The sequence below is a fragment of the Homo sapiens genome, chromosome 14, assembly GCF_000001405.40.
Source record: "Homo sapiens chromosome 14, GRCh38.p14 Primary Assembly".
Classification (NCBI taxonomy): Eukaryota; Metazoa; Chordata; class Mammalia; order Primates; family Hominidae; genus Homo; species Homo sapiens.
The window spans coordinates 35,336,030-35,349,903 of NC_000014.9; the positions used below are offsets into that span (position 1 = coordinate 35,336,030).

Below are 13,874 nucleotides of genomic sequence, written 5' to 3' on the forward strand. Positions count from 1 at the left end.
TTTAGAATGTACGCATCTGAGCTGTCATAGTTTTTTGTTTTCTTGTTTTTTTGAGATGGAGTTTCGCTCTTTCACCCAGGCTGGAGTGAAATGCCGCGATCTCAGCTCACTGCAACCTCTGCCTCCTGGGTTCAAGCCATTCTCCTGCCTCAGCCTCCCAAGTATCTGCGATTACAGGCTCCTGCCACCATGTCCAGCTAATTTTTTGTATTTTTAGTAGAGACAGGGTTTCACCATGTTGGCCAGGCTGGTCTTGAATTCCTGACCTCAGGTGATCCACCCACCTCGGCCTCCCAAAATGCTGGGATTACAGGCATGAACCACTCTACCTGACCCATAGTTCTTAAATTTAAAATCTTGATATGCTGGTGGATATGCAGCTTGATTTCTTTAAGCCGACATGGCCTGACTTTTTCAGATTCTCAGCCTGTGTTGGAGGGCTGTTGAGTGTTCTTTCTATGCAGAAAGTACGCCTGCCGTCCTCTGTTTTGTAATCGCCACCCCATCCCTGCCCAACACACACACCCACACAGCCGCAGTTACGCCGGGTCCAGCAACGCACGAACCAAGTGGAAGGTCAAGGGCTGGGGCTCCGTTTCCCTCCCCTTGAAGCTGTTTGGTTTGCTCTTGTCCCAGCCCCTGACTGAGCCGCCAGCCCAGAACGGGGGCAGCCCTCCCCCATGCAGTCAGGGCCAGAGGAGCATAATATTGCCCCCCCGGGTGCAGCCTTAGGTGCAGGAGCGTTGGGAATTTTCCATCTTGCTCTGCAGCCTGGCTTCTTAGGTCATCGTCCTGCTGCTGACATAGGCCTGGGTTGGGCGAGTTTCCTGCAGGTCAGCGAGGGCGCGGAGGCAGCGCCTGAGCCTGCTCAGGGCCTGGCTTCCTGCCTGCTGTGAGGAAGGGTGGAGGAGGGGTTCGAGGCCTCAACCATCCCTTGGCCCAGAGCCTCAGGCCAAGCAGCCTCCGCCTCTGCCCAGGCCTGTCTCCTCCCGGCCTCCTGCTCTCCTGTTTCCTAAAGCTTTCCCGCTGGGTGGCTCCCAGTTCTTCCAGAAATCCCCTCCAGGAAATTTGCTTGTTGCCACAAAATAATGCAAATCTGTTCCTGGGGCCGCCCAGGCAACCTGCAGTCTCTGTCTCCCCAAGACCTGAGGAGGGAGGGCGAGGCAGGCCCTGTGCCCGTCAGGGTCCCTTTTCCAGCCATGAGGACAAAGGATAAGCCGCACCCTCGTCACCCTCTCATAAGCTGCAAGAGAAAGTTCCTGGTTTTACCTCTAAGGGAACCAGCTCCACCTAGGGAAAGGCCACACAGGACCCTCAAAGGCACCAAGGTCTTTTTTCTATTTAATATCTAAAACAGTCTGAATATATTAAAGTTTATGCTCATGTTTGGCATTTGTTTATCTGTTTCTCGAACTTCAACTCCCTGCCGTGTCTGGAGCAGAAAGTGAAGGCCCATGGATAACACTTCTGCGTGCCACAGTCCTAGGTGGTGACCAATGCAGGGATGCACAGGTGCCGTGTGGCCTTCTGCAGGCCAGGCCCCACAGAGACCCACAGTCAAGGTGGCCTGAGACCCTTGAACAAGGAGCTTGTGGCCAGAGAAAGGCTAAATGCAGCACCCCCACCCCTGTGGCTAGTGCCAGGGCCCCACCTGAATGCTCTGCAGTTGGGTCCCCCCAGGCCATCTCCAGAGGAGAACGCAAGTGGGCTAGGGAGGGAACAGACCAGCCTGATGCAAAACCCTCTCAGCCCAGCACAGCCCTCGTGTCCCTGGGCTGAGGGTCTGGGGAGAACATCACTTGCTCTTGCCTCCCTTCCTTTCTTGCTGCTGCTGCCTCCTGAGGTCAGGCCGTGACTACTCAGGAGAGGAATGGAATTCCAGGGCTCCTGCTCCTAATGAAGGAGAGGTGGGAGGGGCACACACCAAGCTGCTACCAGGTACCAGGCCCTCGGAGGTGCTTGAACACTACCTCCTTGACTCTCAATAGCAATCCTATGAGGTGGATGTTTTCTTGCCCAACAGATGGGATTCTGAGACTCAGAGATATTGGTGACTTGCCCGAGGTCACACCAATGGTAGGTGGTGATTCAAAACCAGGTCTGTGTGCAGTTCAATGACCATGGAGTCTTGCCCTGTTGCACAGGGCTTCTTGTGTCATACACAGCCTTCGCTTTGTGAAATCCAGCACAGTTGACCCACATTCTCACCCAAATCCAAACTCCAAGTTTCAGAGCTTCTTTGCACCCATAAAAGGGGGGCTCAGAAGTCCCCTTGAGGCCTCAGAAAGGACATAGACCAAACAAAGGTTATGGCCTAATAAGAAGCAAATCAAAGTAACATTGCCTTATGATTTAAAAGTAGTATGTGGGCCAGGTGCAGTGGCTCATGCCTGTAATCCCAGCACTTTGGGAGGCTGAGGCAGGTGGATCACCTGAGGTCAGGAGTTTGAGACCAGCCTGGCCAATATGGCAAAACCTTGTCTCTGCTAAAAATGCAAAAATTAGCCGGGCGTGGTGGCTCGCACCTGTAATCCCAGCTACTCAGGAGGCTGAGGCAGGAGAATGGCGTGAACCCGGGAGGCAGAGGTTGCAGTGAGCTGAGATCGTGCCACTGCACTCCAGCCTGGGCGACAGAATAAGACTGTCTCAAAAAAATAAAAAATAAAAATAAAAAAACAGTAAATAAATAAAAGTAGTATTTGCCTCCTGGTGGATGGCATTATCCAACTAATTTATTCACTGTGGTTGGCTATGTGGGTCTTACAGGGAGGGTTTAGGGCTCTGGGGCTGGGCCTGTGGACCTGTCTCCCACCAGGCAGCGCAGCCCCTTCTAACCTTGTCCCATAGAAACTTTCATGGGATGCAAGGCCACAGGCCAGAGCTAGGATTGGGCTGGGCGGGGGAGGGGATTATCAAGGGTAAACCCCTGCCTCCCACAAAGGATACCGAGCTACAGCGCAGGTGCAGTTCGGCAAGTCCCGACACAGGCCTCATTGTACCCAGCCCCTCAGCGAGGGCCTTGGGACGGCCCCACAGATAGGGCACCTCCACCCCATCCCCGGGCTGCAGTTCAGGACCTAGGAGACAGAAGGCTGCGGGTGACTAAGACCCTTAATTGAGCCCTGCAAGCTTGCACGATGAGCCTGTCTACCCGCTAACAAGCACCTTGTGCCTCTGCTCGGTCGGCCTCTGACCCTGGAGAGGGTGTCTTGTTGAGGGCAATGTCCTTGACCTGCCTGAGCTCCTCCTTGGGCCCTGCATTTCATGCTGCCCTTCCTCAGCAACCAGGTGCGCACCCCTTCCTTGGCATCTGCAGCCTAATATTAATAGCTGTGGGATGGGCAAAGAACGTGTGCCTTACTGCCTCCAGGTTCTTAGCAGCTATAAGCTCTCTCTGTTGCCTGGTTGGTTTTAAGGGTTTCTTCTGGAATATTCATCTTTGTCCACTGACTGCATCGCCATAAGCTATAACTGCTTAGAGGCCAAGGACTTAGGCACAGGTGAAATGCATTTCAGCCTTGGAGACCCAGACCGACCCAAAGCGATCCTCATGTCTGCTCTGTTTAGGGTATTTTCCTGGTGGAAAGAATATGATTGCTGATTTGGGGAAGAGGGCCCTCAAGCCTCTAGCACTGCCTTTGCTTCAGCTGTGGGAGCACAGGGAGAGCAGGTGGGATACAGGGGAAGACCCCTTTTGAGGTTTTGTGGTGGGGAAGGAGGAGGCCGATACTCACCAGAGGAACAGATATGGGGTCTCTGGAGCTGCCATGCCCCACAGTGGGCCACCAGCTCCCAGCCTTCCCAGTGGTTCTGCACCAGCTTCCAGGGCTCTCAGCCCACCAGGCACCTGCATCACAGCATCGCCTGGGTCATAGCCTGAGTTTGAGAACCATCGCCCTGCATGGCCTGACCAGCCGAGGCTAGTGGCAGCTCTGTGCAACGTGTCTACTTCCTCTTCCCTAAACAGCTCCTTCCCCACCACATTTCTGTGTTTATGGCTAGAAATTCTGCAGCAGCTGCATTTCTCAGTATCCGGTGGATCTCTGCAGAAGAACAAACCTCTAGGTCTGAGGAGCAGCAGCCTCCTTCCAGGGGTCCCTCTCAGAGCCTGCCCCCCCCGCCAAAACCTCAGCAGGACCTTGCTCTGTGGGACTCTGGCCAGGTTGACAGCATAGGAAGACCCTAAGGAAGCCCCAGAAGCAGCTGCAGAGGCGGTGGGGAGGAGGTGCCACAGAAGGCTGGCATTTGCCCCTTGTGCTGTCCGGCTGCCTCCCACCACCACCCGGGTACAGGCCCTGGGTCTACTCCTCGGCACAGACTCAGGCCTCTCCCCTCGGGTGCCCACTGTACCTCATCGCAGTCACCCACTTCCTTCTGGTTCCCAGATCAGCCCCTCCTCAGCACCTCTGTGCCAGGTGGGCCTCCCCAGCCTGCATATTTGGATTTATCTTCAAAACCAGCCTCAGTTCCTTCATATTTCCAGGAATCCTTCCTGCCACCCTGACAGAGAATTTTTTTTTTTTTTTGAAATGGAGTCTGGTTCTGTTGCCCAGGCTGGAGTGCAGTGGGCGATCTCAGCTCATTGCAAGCTCCACCTCCCGGGTTCAAGCTATTCTCCTACCTCAGCCTCCTGAGTAGCTGGGATTACAGGCACCCACCATCACGCCTGGCTAATTTTTGCATTTTTAGTAAAGACGGGATTTCACCATGTTGGCCAGGATGGTCTCAAACTCCTGACCTCAAGTGATTCACCTGCCTCGGCCTCCCCAGGTGCTGGGAATACAGGCGTGAGCCACCGCGGCGGCCATGAAAAGGGCTTGGAGATTCCTTTCTGGAAATCTAAAATCCATGTGAATTATGTTAGGGCAGGTATGAAATTCAATAATTGGTCCTGCTCCAACGTACTCATTTGACAGGTCATTTGCCCTCACAGTCTGTATTTTTTCAGGTCAAATGCAGGTGCCACACTGACTTATGGCCTTGACTTCCGTAGACTCATTCCACTCAGGATGAAACGTGATTGGTTCCTGAGGTGACCCTGCCTCAGTGATAGAAGTGAGTCCTCAGGCAGGGAAGGGTGTGGAGGCAAACAGCCTGGGGAGGGAAGGACGCCTGGGTTTTCCCAGCCAGTGGCTCAGGGCACCCTGCAGACCTGCCAGTCCCCTCTGGGATGAGCCTTCATCCCTGTGACCCCTTCTCTGAGAAAGGGCACCCCAGGCCCAAAGCCTCCCCAGTGCACAGGGCTGGTTTCTGATGAGCTGCCCCCTGAGGCTGGCCTGGCAAAACCAGGTACTGACCTGCACAGGGCCTTGGCATGATTTGGAAAAAGGCAACTCATTGTCCAGATGGACACAGCCCGACCCCCACGCCTCAGCCCACACCTGCATGCTGTACACAGCAGCCCTGACCCCAGGAAAGTCCCTAAGATTTGTAGGAAAAAGGAAAGACACACAGTACATGCTCCACCAGGCTCCTTCTCCAGGGCCTCCCCAGCGCATCCCGTCTCTGCCTGGCTCCATCAGAACCCAGCTGGGTGAACCTTGGGCCCCTCATTCCCCTTGGTGAGACCCTGAATCCTGGAGGGGGCTGGACTTGTCCTTCATCCTGGGATTCTAGGTCAAGTTCTTAGCTCCTGGCTCCTCTTCAAGGCCCGGCTGGGTCTCCTCCTCCCACTCCGCCCCTCTGTCCCCTCCCACAGAGTTCACCACACAGGAGGCAAGGCCAGCGGGCTGGGAGGTACCAGTGGTGGCTGGCAGCTTAGAGTAATCAGCCCCGCCTGCTCCCACAGAGGCAAGGCTGCCTGCCAAGGCCCTGCCTTCTACTGCTGTTGGCAGCTCCTAGGGCAACAACAGAACCTCCCAGCCTCCCTTCACTGGGGGAGAAGCATGAGCTGAAAACAAAAGAAGGGATTAGAGCCCAGATGGAGCGGCCTGAGCTCGGGGCGGGGTCCCCAGGGGCACCCCCCTCGTCCTCGGCCCTTCAGCTCCTTGCCCTCGGCCGTCTCTGGGCGTCACCAGCCAGCAGCTGCCTTGCTGGCCAGCGGTTTCTGTTGCAGGAGCCTCTTGTGCTCGGGGGCTGGCCACAGGGCCTCCGCTGTCCCTCATAATGTGTTTCAAGTGATTTTGCTTTTGAGGAACCTGCCCGCCCAGGACTTCAAGGGCCTCTGCTGACCCATGCACGTCCCAAGGCCTCCGCCGCAGCCCCATTCGCCACACGGCCCCTGGCTCCTGCCCACTTATGGCTGGTCCTGGGCTCCCGTGGCCAAGGAGAGTTGGGCAGACGTTGGCAGATGTGTCTCCTTTGTCCCTGGAGTGATTCCAGGCTCGGCTGAAACTCTGAAAGGCGAGCCCAGCCAGAGGTGCCTCGGAGGCCCAAGTGTGCAGCCTGTCATTCCCCAGCAGTGACTCCACAGGCCTCCAGTGCACATCATCTCCTCATACGTCCCCCAAGGACCCTGGGCTACCGAGGGAACACTAGCTCATAGCTTGTGACTTCAGCACTGTATGGAAGAGAACAGGAGCAGACCCGTCTCACTGTTGGGGCAGCTGTGGACAGTCACGCGTCTATCTTGGTTCCAGCCAGGCTCTCAGCTTGCACAGCCAGGGTGCCAGAAACTGCCCGGGCCAGATTTTCAAACCCCTGAGGTAGGAGGAGCCACCATCATCCTGTTTCTCCTCTGGCCCTCACAACCTCCCCCTACTTCCAGCCTGAGAGTTCTGGTCCACTGGGGAATGTGACCTTTGAAAGTCTTGGCCCTGTGAGCATCTTAACCTCAGCAGCACGTTGTTTTGTTTTGTTCACATCATTTTCCCCCACCCAGCACAGGGCACGGCACATAGTAGGTGCTCAATAAACATTTGTTGGGCCAGGTGTGGTAGCTCATGCCTGTAATTCCATCACTGTAGGGGGCTAAGACAGGAGGATCTCTTGAGCCTAGAAGTTCAAGACCAGCCTGGCCAACATGCCGAAACCCTGTCTCTACTAAAAATACAAAACATTAGCTGGGCATGGTGGTGGGCGCCTATAATCTCAGCTACTCAGGAGGCTGAGGCAGAAGAATTGCTTGAACCCAGAAGGCGGCGGAGGTTGCAGTGAGCCAAGATCACGCCACTGCACTCCAGCCTGGGCGACACAGCGAGACTCTGCCTCAAAATAATAAAGTAAAATAAAGTAAAAAATAAATAAGGCCGGGCGCAGTGGCTCACTCCTGTAATCGCAGCACTTTGGGAGGCTGAGGCGGGCGGATCACGAGGTCAGGAGATCGAGATCATCCCGGCTAACATGATGAAACCCCATCTCTACTAAAAATACAAAAAAAAAAATTAGCCGGGCGTCGTGGTGGGCGCCTGTAGTCCTAGCTACTCGGGAGGCTGAGGCAGGAGAATGGCGTGAACCCGGGAGGCGGAGGTTGCAATGAGCCGAGATTGTGCCACTGCACTCCAGCCTGGGTGACTGAGCAAGACTCCGTCTAAAAAAATAAATAAAGAAAATAAAATAATAAATAAATAAACGTTTGCTGAATGAATTAAGTGCCAATGCGTTTTTGAGCCCATGGCCCAGCCCTATCCCATCAGCCAGAAGCAGGCTTGGATCACTTGGTCCTCAGGAGATTCATTTGAAAATAGCCACTTGATTCTAGAGAGGGTCTTCTTACTACTGAGGCTGCTGTAGGCAAGGGACTTGCCCTCTGTTTTTCTTAGAGGTCTGACTTTAACAAGGAGCAGTATGGGGCTCCCAGGTGTTGTATGTCATCCGCGGGACACTGGAAGGGGCTGCTGACCATTCAGCCCGCCTTCCTGCTGAGAAATATCCCATCTGCCCAGCACTGGTCTTGCGGTCAAGAATCAAGCTTCCCGTCGGCAGCCCCTCTCCTCTCTCCCAGCCTTTCTGTGTGCATGAATGGGAAGGGCAGCTACTTCCTTTATGGTTTGTCTGACTTCTCCCCGAGTTCCAGTTCAACTTGAACTTTGGCATTCAAGGCAAGACTGGAGAGAGCAAGGGAGTGCTGATCTAGAATGTTCTGTTCTAGGGCTGGTCTCAGGTGGTGAGAAGTTATCCACTGGGCATCCTGAAAATACACTAAGGGTTACAAACACATGTCTGAAGAATGTTCTGGCCAGGGTCTGCCCGTGTGCAAGAAGTCTCGGGGACTGGAAGGAAGGACCTCATCCCTCCCATTCTGGGGTACAGAATCTCCCCTGGAAACAGAACCAGAGGAGGCAGCATGCTGGGCTCTTGGTGCTGCCCTCTGTTCTGGTTCTGGGGCGATGCCCAGCCTGAGACACGGGTCCTGACCTTACAATGGACTCAACTCATCACCCCCATTGCCTCGGGAGGCAGGTGGCATCATCGAAATGCAGAAAGAAAAGATTTCCTATCGTGAACTTCCTCCCTGGGGCCAGACTTTCCTGTCACTGCCAGAGGGACTGGTTAACCCCCAACCAACCCAGGCTCCCACAAGATCCTACCAGTTTTCTCCTCGCCCCTCCATTAGATAAATCTTCCTTAGAACTCAAGTTGTGTCACATCATTCTCTTGTTCAAAACCCCAGTGCCCCAGTGAGCACAGTGCTGCCTCGTACGTAAAACCTCAACTCTTCAGTCTTACGTCAAAGCCTCTCCTTAGCTGGGCACGTTGACTCATGCCTGTAATCCCAGCACTTTGGGAGTCTGAGGCAGGAGGATCACTTGAGCCCAGGAGTTCAAGACCAGCCTGGCCAACATGGTGAAACCTCGTCTCTACTAAAAACACAAAAATTAGCCGGGCACGGTGGCATGCACGTGTAGTCCCAGGTACTCTGGAGGCTGAAGTGGGAGGATCACTTGAGCCTTGGGAGTTCCAGCCTGCAGTGAGCTGTGAATGTGCCACTGCACTCCAGCCTGGGTGACAAAGGCAGGCGACCCTGTCTAAAAAAAAAAAAAAGAAAGAAAAAAGAAAAAAGAAAAGCCTTTCCTGTGTAGCCCAAACCAAACTGTCTTTCCCGTCTTGTCATCAGCTCCCCTGTACATTGGCCAATTTGTCCTTCAATGTTTTGTTTGTCCATCCACTCATTCATCTGTATTTATCACAGATTGAGGCTGATAGGGATGAAAATCATCTTTCCTTTGGTGAAGCTGCAGGGACAAGGAACAAGGAGGTGACCCACATACCCCTTGATAGATGCTGACACAGGCAATGGCCTTGGACTTAAAACATTTGTAAGTATTTATTTTCTAAGATATTAGTTTTATTATATTGATGAACTTATAAAATAACATAGTTAAAAACTATTTTCAAAAATAAAATTATTTAAAATAATTATATGTGCATTAGAACAAATAAAATGTATTTATATTGTTATCTCAATATTTAAAAACAAAAAAGAAAAACATTATTCTTGGTACATATATTCCTGTGCTTGAATCATTTTTGTTTGTTTGTTTGTTTGTTTTTGAGATGGAGTCTTGCTCTTGTTGCCCAGGCCGGAGTGCAGTGGCGCAATCTTGTCTCACTGCAATCTCCTCCTCCCAGGTTCAAGCGATTCTCTTGCCTCAGCCTTCCCAGTAGCTAGGATTACAGAAGCCCGCCACCACACACAGCTAATTTTTGTATTTTTAGTAGAGACAGGGTTTTGCAATGTTGGCCAGCTGGTCTCGAACTCCTGACCTCAGGTAATCCACCTGCCTTGGCCCCCCAAAGTGCTGGGATTACAGGCGTGAGCCACCGCACCCGGCCTACTTGAATCACTTTCTTTCTTTCTTTTTTTCTTTTTTGAGATGACGTTTTGCTCTTGTTACCCAGGCTGGAGTGCAATAGCATGATCTCGGCTCACTGTAACCTCTGCCCACCGAGTTCAAGCAATTCTCCTGCCTCGGCCTCCCTAGTAGCTGGGATTACAGGCGCCGGCCACCATGCCCAGCTAATTTTTTGTATTTTTAGTAGAGATGGGGTTTCACCATGTTGGCCAGGCTGATCTTGAACTCCAGACCTCAGGTGATTCACCCGCCTTGGCCTCCCAAAGTGCTGGGATTATAGGCGTGAGCCACCTCGCCCGGCCTAATCACTTTCTTAACCATATCTGACTCTAAATACCATGGCACTGATATTTTTCTGAAAAATGCATTACTTTTAAACATAGATTTATTATTTTTAATTTTTTATAAAATTGCCTGCAATCCTCTTTAAAGTTGCATTTTAAAGTTAATGGATTTGACATTTTTGACACTTAAAGACTCTTCTCCATAGAACATAATCTGAAATGAGAATTTACCCTCTGTGTAAGTGCTAAGATATCTGATAAGAAGCTTGGAGAAAATTCTGCTAAATAGAGGATAGTCTCAATTCTAATTTTTAAATTAAATTAAATTTTTATTTTTTGAGACAGAGTCTTGCTCTGTCGCTCAGGCTGGAGTGCAGTGGCTTAATTTGGCTCACTGCAACCTCTGCCTCCTGGGTTCAAGAGATTCTCATGCCTCAGCCTCTGGAGTAGCTGGGATTGCAGGCACGTGCCACCATGCCTGGCTAATTTTTGTATTTTTGTAGAGATGTGGTTTCACCATGTTGGCCAGGCTGGTCTCGAACTCCTGACCTTAAGTGATCTGCCCGCCTTGGCTTCCCAAAGTGCTGGTATTACAGGAGTGAGCCACCATGCCCAGCCTCAATTCTAATTTTTTATATTGCAACTTATAAATCTTTCATGGGCTCTGAGTTTCTTGTTTTTATTTTATTTTTGTAGACACAGGGTTTCACTATGTTGCCTAGGCTGGTCTCAAACTCGTGGCCTCAAGCTAATCCTCCCACTTTAGCCTCCCAAAGCGCTGGGGTTCCAGGCATGAGCCACCTCGCCCAACATGCTCTGAGTTTCTAAAAGAACATTTAGCAGCTGGGAGGGGTGCAGCAGTGAGAGTGCGGGGCTTGGAGTCCAGCTTTGTTGGCTGTGTGGCCTTGGGCAGGGAGCTTCACCCCTCTGAGCTTTAGTCCCCTCCTCTGTTAGACAGGGTCGACTGCCCCCAGCCTGCTTGCATGATGAGGGTTTAAGGACAATGGACACAGCAGATCCCACACAGTCTTGATACTTACAGATTCTCAATGCCTCGGTGTTACTGTTGTTCCCACGTGCCAGCCTGAACTTAGCACCCACTGCTGGCTTCCTCCTCCCCTCTCTCGGAATGGACCCAATGGGCCCTGCCTCCGCAGAAGCCATAGAAAGCTTTTAGGTTTCACACAGTCAGTCACAATTCATGTGTCTGGGGTTTATCATGTGCGGGGCGCTGTCCTAAACACTTCACATGAATTAACAAATTTCATTCTCATAACAGCCTCTAGGATCAATATGATTATTGCTGGGTGTTCCAGATCTTGATGCCTAAGGATACCCAGGTAGTCAATGGTAGACCTGGGCTGTGCACCCAGGCAGGCTGGCCCCTCAGCCCACAGGCGTGACCAGAGGTCATCCCTCCTCTCCTCCAGCTTTGTGCCCTGGAGGAGCTGCTGTGTGCACTGCATGGACGCCACCCTTGCCCTCTGGCCGCCTTTTGGTCATGGCCAGTGAAGAGCCTAGTGGGAGATCAAAGGGAGGAGGGGGTGGGGAGTCTGCATTCATTCCCCTGCAGTCCTCCCCGCAGGGTCGCCCAGGCTGGGTTGGACCTAAAAGGAAGGTCACGGCCCCACTCAGGCAGCCTCTGTCCCACAGGGTTCTGGTGCGGGTTTCTGGTGCAGGTGCTGGTGCGCAGTGTTCCTCTTGCTCGCATCCGCCCCGCATTGCTGCACAATCCCTACTTCTACGCCCCTCGTGGTTTTGTAAATAGTGTCATTGTAAATGAGCCAGCCACTCCCCCATGCTGCCTCTCAGCTGCAGGCTGAGCAAAGCTTAGCTTGTCCTTGAGCCTTACCTGCTTACTGTGTAATGCCCAACCTCATTTTTACCAATCCTGTTTTTAGACTCTCCCTTTCCTTTAATCACCCAGCCTTGTTTCCACCTGAATTGACTCTCCCTTAGCTAAGAGAGCCAGACAGACTCCATCTTGGCTTTTTCACTGGCAGCCCCTTCCTCGAGGACTTAACTTGTGCAAGCTGACTCCCAGCACATCCAAGAATGCAATTAACTGATAAGATACTGTGGCGAGCAATATCCGCAATTCTCAGGAATTCGTCTGATTGATAATGCCCAAAGCCCCAAGTCTATCACCTTGTAATGGTCTTAACGCCCCTGCACCTGGAACTGTTTACTTTCCTGTAACCATTTATCCTTTTAACTTCTTGCCTACTTTATTTCTGTAAAATTGTTTTAACTAGACCCCCCCTCCCTTTTCTAAACCAAAGTATAAAAGAAAATCTAGCCCCTTCTTCAGGCCGAGAGAATTTTGAGTGTTAGCTGTCTCTTGGCCACCAACTAAATAAACGGACTCTTAATTCGTCTCAAAGTGTGGCGTTTTCTCTAACTCGCTCAGGTACAACAACTGCTTCTTGTATGTTTAATTTCATTTACTTATTTTTTGAAAATATTTCAATGTGTACAAAAGGATATGCAGTGAAAAGCCTCTTTCCCTCTCTCAACCATCCAGTTCTCCCCACAGGCAACTGTCAAAATAGTTTTTGGTGGGTTTTTAAAAATTGTGGTTAAATGTATATAGCATAAAATTTACCATTTTAGCCATTTTTCTTTTTTCTTTTTTTTTAGACGGAGTTTCGCTCCTGATGCCCAGGCTGGAGTGCCATGGTGCAATCTCGCCTCACTGCATCCTCCGCCTCCTGGGTTCAAGCGATTCTCCTGCCTCAGCCTCCCAAGTAGCTGGGATTACAGGCATGTGCCACCATGCCTGGCTAATTTTGTAATTTTTTTTTTAGTAGAGACAGGGTTTCTCCATGTTGGTCAGGCTGGTCTCGAACTCCCGACCTCAGGTGATCTGCCTGCTTTGGCCTCCCAAAGTTCTGGGTCTACAGGCTTGAGCCACTGCACCGGCTTTTTTTTTTTTTTTTTTTTGAGATGGAGTCTCTGTCGCACAGGCTGGGGTGCAGTGGCATGATGTCGGCTCACTGCACCTTCCGCCTCCCAGGTTCAAGTTCTGTCTCAGCCTCCCAAGTAGCTGGGACTACAGGCGCCTGCCACCATGCCTGGCTAATTTTTTGTATTTTTAGTAGAGAGGGGGGTTCCACCTTGTTGGTCAGGCTGGTCTCTAAATCCTGACCTCAGGTGATCCACCCTCCTCGGCCTCCCAAAGTGCTGGGATTACAGGCGTGAGCCACTGCGCCCAGCCCATTTTAGCCATTTTTAAGTGTACAGTCCAGGGGCATTAAGTCTATTCGCATTGTGTGCAACCATCGCCAACATCCATGTCCAGAACTTTCTCATCTTCCCCAGTTGAGTCTACCCATTAAATAAACACTCTCTGAAATGGGTTTTTGTGAATCCTTCCAAAGGCATTTTATGCACATTCAAGCAAATACGTAAATATTCTTCCTTTAAAAAACATGCAAATTATTATTTAAAAAAATATTGGGGGGATGGGGGCCAGGCCTAGTGCCTGCTGCCTGTAATCCCAGCACTTTGGGAGGCTGAGGCAGAAGGATCACTTGAGCCCAGGAGTTCAAGACCTGCCTGGGCAACATAAGGAGAGCTCGTCTCTATAAAAAATTAAAAAATTAGCCAGGTGTAGTTCCAGCTACTTGGGAGGCTAAGATGGGAGGATAGCTTGAGCCCAGGAGGTCAAGGCTGCAGTGAGCCATGAACATGCCACTGCACTGCAGCTTTGGTGACAAAGGGAGACCTTGTCTCAAAAAAAAAGAAAATTCGAAGCAACCCTACCAACAAGAAAATTATTTTATTTAACTTGGATATCGTTTCACATCAATACATAATACAAATTCTCATCTTTCTGTTCAGCCTCCTCATCGTG

General features: G+C 51.5%; 4 annotated features.

Annotated features, from left to right (window-relative positions):
- Window positions 520-1,041: an enhancer, noted in NCBI's record as "H3K27ac-H3K4me1 hESC enhancer chr14:35805755-35806276 (GRCh37/hg19 assembly coordinates)". NCBI's record gives its function as "activates a minimal SCP1, AML or CMV promoter by ChIP-STARR-seq in primed H9 embryonic stem cells {active_cell/tissue: H9 hESC(primed)}" and the evidence as "EXISTENCE:reporter gene assay evidence [ECO:0000049][PMID:30033119]".
- Window positions 3,672-3,861: an enhancer, noted in NCBI's record as "active region_8273". NCBI's record gives its function as "activates an Ori minimal core promoter by ATAC-STARR-seq in GM12878 lymphoblastoid cells {active_cell/tissue: GM12878}" and the evidence as "EXISTENCE:reporter gene assay evidence [ECO:0000049][PMID:35858748]".
- Window positions 5,912-6,768: an enhancer, noted in NCBI's record as "H3K4me1 hESC enhancer chr14:35811147-35812003 (GRCh37/hg19 assembly coordinates)". NCBI's record gives its function as "activates a minimal SCP1, AML or CMV promoter by ChIP-STARR-seq in naive H9 embryonic stem cells {active_cell/tissue: H9 hESC(naive)}" and the evidence as "EXISTENCE:reporter gene assay evidence [ECO:0000049][PMID:30033119]".
- Window positions 11,051-11,595: an enhancer, noted in NCBI's record as "H3K27ac-H3K4me1 hESC enhancer chr14:35816286-35816830 (GRCh37/hg19 assembly coordinates)". NCBI's record gives its function as "activates a minimal SCP1, AML or CMV promoter by ChIP-STARR-seq in naive H9 embryonic stem cells {active_cell/tissue: H9 hESC(naive)}" and the evidence as "EXISTENCE:reporter gene assay evidence [ECO:0000049][PMID:30033119]".